Source organism: Homo sapiens, chromosome 17 (assembly GCF_000001405.40).
Source record: "Homo sapiens chromosome 17, GRCh38.p14 Primary Assembly".
NCBI classification, from domain to species: domain Eukaryota; kingdom Metazoa; phylum Chordata; class Mammalia; order Primates; family Hominidae; genus Homo; species Homo sapiens.
In genome coordinates this window covers 71,317,804-71,324,334 of record NC_000017.11, presented here as the reverse complement: position 1 = coordinate 71,324,334, position 6,531 = coordinate 71,317,804, and the positions used below count along the sequence as shown (strand labels likewise).

At 39.4% G+C, this 6,531-nt stretch overlaps 1 annotated feature.

Moving 5' to 3' along the window:
• Positions 5,813 to 6,313: an enhancer, noted in NCBI's record as "H3K4me1 hESC enhancer chr17:69314163-69314663 (GRCh37/hg19 assembly coordinates)". NCBI's record gives its function as "activates a minimal SCP1, AML or CMV promoter by ChIP-STARR-seq in primed H9 embryonic stem cells {active_cell/tissue: H9 hESC(primed)}" and the evidence as "EXISTENCE:reporter gene assay evidence [ECO:0000049][PMID:30033119]".

The window sequence follows — 6,531 nt, the reverse complement described above, 5'->3', positions numbered from 1 at the left end:
TACACACACAAGAAGTGAGTTTAGGAGCAGAGGTTTAATAGGCAACAGAGAGGGAAAGGAGAACAGCTCTCTCTCTTGCCACAGAGAGGGGCACCTGAATGAGACTTCTGGCCTGCAGCAGAGTGCACTGGAGTTTAGTCAGGCTCGAGGAAGTGGTGTCTGATTTACACAGGGCCCAAAGATTGGTTGGACGAGGTGTGACCTTTATAACCCAAAGGGCAGCTGGCTGCCCCACCCTCATCCTCTTATTAGGCAAGTTGGCTTTCCACTTGATTGGCGCCATGTTGTCTGCTCCCTACTTTACACATAGTTGGAAAGGAAAAGGGAAGATGGAGCCGCCATTTTGAACATGCCTAGTCCCAGGTAGCCTTATCCTATTGGCACAACTGCCAGCATTCAGCCGTGCAAGCTTGCAGCTTGCTTGTCTCTGTCTGCGGCTCGATTTTACGGGCTGCTCTTTGTTAGAAAAGAAAATGATTTGGGTAACGCTTTTCATTAAAAGGAAAACGTAACCAAGGACTTCCTTACCTTCACTATCTGCCTAAATAATTTCTTTTTAACTCCTATGTCAGTGGTGTGAGAGCAGAGGAAACACACAGTTAGAAAGAGCTTTCCTGAAACAGTCAGCTTAGGCTTCCATAACCAAATACCACAGACAGAATGGACTTAAACAACAGGAATTTATTTTCTCACAGTTTTGGAGGCTGGTTGTCCAAGATCAAGCTGGCAGCAGAGGTGGTTTCCTTTGATTGCCACAGGGAAGTATCTATTCCAAGTCTCTTTCCTTAGCCTGCAGATGGCCACACTGTTGCTGTCTTTTACAACATGATCATTTCTTCATGCACACACATCTGGTGTCTCTCCATGTGTCCCACTGTCCTCTTCTTATAACGACACCAATTCAGATTGGATTAAGAAACACCCTAATGGCCTTAATTTAATAATTTTTGCCCGGAATTGAACTTTTTATTTGTACAATTCAGATTTTATGATAACAGCATAGAGATGCCCAGGCACATAGATATATTATAAATAAAATATGTATATGTAAAATGAACCAGCCCTTTCTTCTTCCTGCCCCACCTCTTCGTGTCTATCCCCAACCCCAATCCAAAACAAGTTGGGCTCCTGGTTGTAGTTCCCTGAGTGCTAAAATAAAATTTCCTGTCTCCAAATACAGTCATATTTTGACATACTAGGAGTTAGGACTTCAACCTCCTGTAGGAATTTTGGGAGAAACCTGCTTTAGATCATAACAAGGGGTGGAGGGTAAGAAGAACATGTATTTTGTATAACTTGTATTTAAAAAATAAATTTGGGCCAGGTGCATTGGCTCATGCCTGTAATCCCAGCACTTTGGGAGGCCGAGGTGGGCAGATCACTGAGGCCAGGAGTTCGAGATAAGACTCGCCAACATGGTGAAACCCTATCTCTACTAAAAATACAAAATTTATCTGGGCATGGTGGTGCATGCCTGTAATCCCAGCTACTCGGGAGGCTGAGGCAGGAGAATCGCTTGAACCTGAGAGGTGGAGGTTACAGTGAGCTGAAATCGCACCACTGCATTCCAGCCTGGATGACAGAGCAAGACTTCATCTCAAAAATAAATAAAAAATCAGTTCAGTTTTTTACAGTTACTTTTATTTTTCGACAAGAATTACTGAGAGTCTACTGTATCCCAGGCATTTTTCTAGGTTCTAGAGCCACAGTGATGAACAAGGCAATTATTTAGTAAAAGAGAAACATATAATCTACCAATGAATAAAAATATATAATTCTATGTAGTGATACGTGGTATGAAAACAATTAACAAAGGGCCATGGTGCTCGTGGTAGAATGTGGGGAGAGTGACAGATAATGAAATCTAGGAAGAGCGCTCTGAAAAAGTGATGTTTTAGTAGTCGGAAAAGAAATGAGGTGGCAGATTTGCCCGTATCTAAAAGAAGATTACAGAGTCAGAGAACAGCAACAGGGAAGTCTCCGAGGAAGGATAAGCTTGACACACTCAAGGGATGAAAAGAAAGTGAATGTGAGTGGACCAGTCTGCAAAGAGAAAAATGGTTGGAGATGAGGAGTCAACAGGGGCCAGATCATGTCGAATCTTGAAGGCTATGAGATAGATTTGCAGTTTGTCTTTTATTCTAAATACAATGTAAGGCATTAGGGGGAATTACAGAGGAGAGACATAATCTGATTTAAATTTTTAATAGATGACATAACTAGACTTTTGAACAAGTATAACTGGTAACAAAATCTATCTTTATACGTTATTCTCACTTTATTTTATTTTCATTTTTTATTTTTAGATAAGGTCTCACTCTGTCACCCAGGCTGGAGTGCAGTGGCACAATCAGGGCTCACTGCAGCCTCAACCTCCTGGGCTCAAGTGATTCTCCTGCCTCAGTCTCCCATATAGCTGGGAACATAGGCATGGGCCACCATACTTGGCTAATTATTTTTCCTTTAATTTTCTATAGAGACAAAGTCTCATTTTGTTGCTCAGGCTGATCTTGAACTCCTGGACTCAGGCAATCCTCCTGTCTCAGCCTCCCAAAGTGTTGGTATTACAGATGTGAGCCACTGCTCCAGGCCAATTCCCACCATCTCTTCAAAGCCTAGTCAATGGGAATAGTTTTACCCTCATCCTGGAGGAAAACTGGCAGGCCAAAACTTTCCTGCTCACTGTTTAGTAATAGACAGTTCTATAATTACCTTAAATTGCAAACAGAGTTTCACTTCAGGAAACTCTGGAAGTGAAACTTCAGGAAGGCTGGACACTTCAGGAAGTGTCCAGCCCTGTGTAATAATCCAAATCCCAGTTTTGACTGAGTGTTCATTTCTATTCTGTCTCCCAGTGCTGATGTTCATTTCTATTCTGTCTCCCAGTGCTGACACCATATGGGAAGCTGAACTGGAAAAGAGACAAAATTGACTTATCTCCCCTGACCTGCCACCTTCACATAGCTATGGCAGGTGGATGAGACTTGGTTGGGTGGCTTCAAATTCTTTGGGTCTTAAACAGGGACTTTTTCTCATGAGATACTGTTGTGTTTCCTATATTTCCTATGGTAGAGATATTTACACTTCTATTCCTAGTAATCTTTGGACATTCTTGCCAAGTTCCTGGGCATCTGGAAGTCCATATCTGGGTTCTTTCTGCTGAAGGTTTCTTTTTTTCCCTGGAAACTCTATTGGACAAGAGGCAAAGACCCAAACTCTTTTTCTCTTGGACTCTTGCTCAGAATGAGTGAGGGAGATGCAAGATCCTTGCAGCAAGGTGTTCGGGTTTTCTTTTGAAAAACTACACGTGAGGATTTGTCTCACACTTGCTTTGGTACCTGATGTTAATGTCTCATCAAAACGGAGACAGAGAGTCTATTTCTTACATATGTCATGTGACTCCAGCCGCTGTGTGAAGACTGCTCCATATAGAAACAAGAGTGGAAGGAGAAAGACAGGTGAACAGCATTAGCAGTTTGGGTGAGACACAGTGACTGCTTGGCAGGAGACGGTGATGAATAGAAACATTTGGGATGTCTTGAGGATAGAGCTGTAAAAACATATATCGACTTGTCTATTGAGAATGGTCAGTGAGAAAGAGAAATGAAAGCTGACTTTGAACTTTTTGGCTTAAGTCAGTCAACAGAAAAAATAAATATTTTCTGAGAAGCATGAAACTGCAGAATATAGCATCTAGGGTGTGGAAGAGGGTGTGTGAAAAAAAGATTTATGAATCAATTGTTCTGTGTATTTTAAGTTTTAGAGTTGGGTTTATGAGTTTAGAGTTCAGGGAAGGTTCAGGACTAGAGCTATAAATTTTGAACTCATCAGCAGATAGATGATTTTTAAATCCATAGGATTGAATGAGATTACTTAGGGAAAAAAGTGTATTTAGCAAAGAGGAGAGATTCTATGGCTGAGTCCTTTGGACTCTGATGTTTAGAGCTGGATAAGACACAGTGTAGTGAGGGTCATAGAAGGAGAAGATATGTTCATTGTGTTCAGAGAGATGAATAAAGTTATAAGTGAGTGTGGCATATGGAACCTGCCAAAGTCCAGTAAAGAGAGGCCAGGTGATTCGTTTTTGGATTTGGCAAGGAGTTGTTGGTGATCTTGATAAAAGCGGTTTCACAGCGGTGTAAGAGCAAATGTGATGGGTGTGGCCTAAAGACAGAGAAAACCGAACAGTGTGTGTTGAGTCAATTGCACGTTTTATCATTATTTTCTTTATTTTTATCCATACTCCTGATAAAAAATGTTAAATAAGAAAGGTTAAAAAAAAAAAAAAAAACCAGAACACCAAGAAAAAGAACTGTATGGTCTGTTATCTTCCCTCCTAGGTGGCAAGAAATAAAGTTTCATTATATTATCAATACTTTTTGCCTTCATGATGAAAACAACCAACTGCTAAGAAAGAATTCTGGCAAAATTATTTCAAGTCCTTGCTACAGCAGGACTTCTTTTGTTTTGTGTTTCTTTTAAAAAAAGAATAATTAATAGCTCTGTACATCTATTAGAATGATAAAAATCTGAAGTACTAACAATACCAAATGCTAGTGAGGATTTGGACCAATGGAAGCTCTCATTTGTTTCTAGTGGGAAGGCAAAAATGGTACCACCACTTTGGAAGACAGTTTGGCAGTTTCCTGCAAGACTAAATATACTCTTGTCCTATGAACCAACAACTGCACTCCTTGGTATTAAGGCAAATAAGTTGGAAACTTATATCCATATAAAAACCTATACTCTGATGTTCATAGCAGCTTTATTCATAATTGCCAAAACTTAAAAGCAACTAAGGTGTCTCTCGGTAGGAAGGTGGATAAATAAACTGTGGTACATCGAGACGATGGAATATAATTCAATACTGAAAATAAATGAAGTATCAAGTCATGAAAATACATGGAAAACATTTAAGCACATATTATTAAATGAAAGAATCTAAGGTGAAAGGCTACATACTATATGATTCCAACTAGATAACATTCTGGAAAAGGCAAAACTATACAGACAGTAAAAAGGTCAGTCGTTGCAAGGGGTGAGCAGGCATATCCAGGTAAACAGGTGGAGTGTGGAAGATATTTAGGGCAGTGAGGACTATGCTGGTTTATAATATAATAGTATAATAATGGTGGATACATGTTGTTATACATTTTTCCATATCCAGAGAATGTATGACACAAAGTGAATTATAATGTAAACTGTGGAATTTGGGTGTTAATAATGCATCAGTGTATTAGTACATCTGCTCATCAGTTGTTACAAATGTTCCACTCTGATGGAGGTTATTGATAATAGGGTAGGCTATGCCTACATGGGGGCAAGGGGCAAATGGAGACTCTTTATACTTACCTTCAGTTTTGTTGTGGACCTAAAACTGCTCTAAAAAATGAAGACTATTAAAAATAATCAGTAGTATTTAAATAATTAGTAGTTGGAACAAACACTCAGATTACTGAAATATAAGCATTCATTCTGGGTTTGCTAAATTTTAGGAGTAAATGACTGTATACTATTCCAGCAATTTCATTAAAATGGCTCATTTCTTTTTACTTAAATTAGTGATTTAAGCCTACATTAAACCTTAGTGCAGAAAACCTTTTTCCTTTTTAAACAACTTTCTCAATCATCCCACACTGACACATAATCAGAATTAAGTCACAATTATTTTGAGTTGAAGTGTTTGCAGTTATTATAAATGATAATGATGCAGAATCTTTTGAAATATAGAAAGTAACTTTAAGTCAAAAAACATTAAAAAGAAGACATGATTGTCACTGTAAAATATACCAATCTGGGCAACAATTTACAAAAACTGAAAAGTGAAAATCAATTTTAGAGTGGTGAGATTTCTTTTTTCTTCTCTGTTCCAGAGCAATTTTAATTGATTTTGCTTCCATTGGAAAGTAGTTTTAGTCACTTTCTTGTTAAAAAGGAGTTCATCGTTATGAAAAATTTGGAATATCTGCACGTTTTTATATGATTCTCAGTGCACCAGACACCTATACCTCACGTAGCATACTTGTTCTTCTTGATACCATTTCTTCTGAGATAATCTGTTTACTAATTGATTTTACTTATTTCTACATAACACAGAAGCCATAGCATACATTTTGTGTTCAATGACTCAAGAAATGGCTTAATCGGCCGGGCGCGGTGGCTCATGCCTGTAATCCCAGCACTTTGGGAGGCCGAGAGGGGCGGATCACGAGGTCAGGAGATCGAGAGCATCCTGGCTAACACAGTGAAACCCCGTCTCTACTAAAAAATACAAAAAAATTAGCCGGGCGTAGTGGCGGGTGCCTGTAGTCCCAGTTACTCGGGAGGCTGAGGCAGGAGAATGGCGTGAACCCAGGAGGCGGAGCTTGCAGTGAGCCGAGATCGTGCCACTGCACTCCAGCCTGGGCGACTGAACGAGACTCCGTCTCAAAAAAAAAAAAAGAATGGCTTAATCATTGCATTCACATATTTGGAGTCCATTGCGGTGTTTCTTTTTCTCTGAGTAAAGACAGTGTGTATATACATATATAT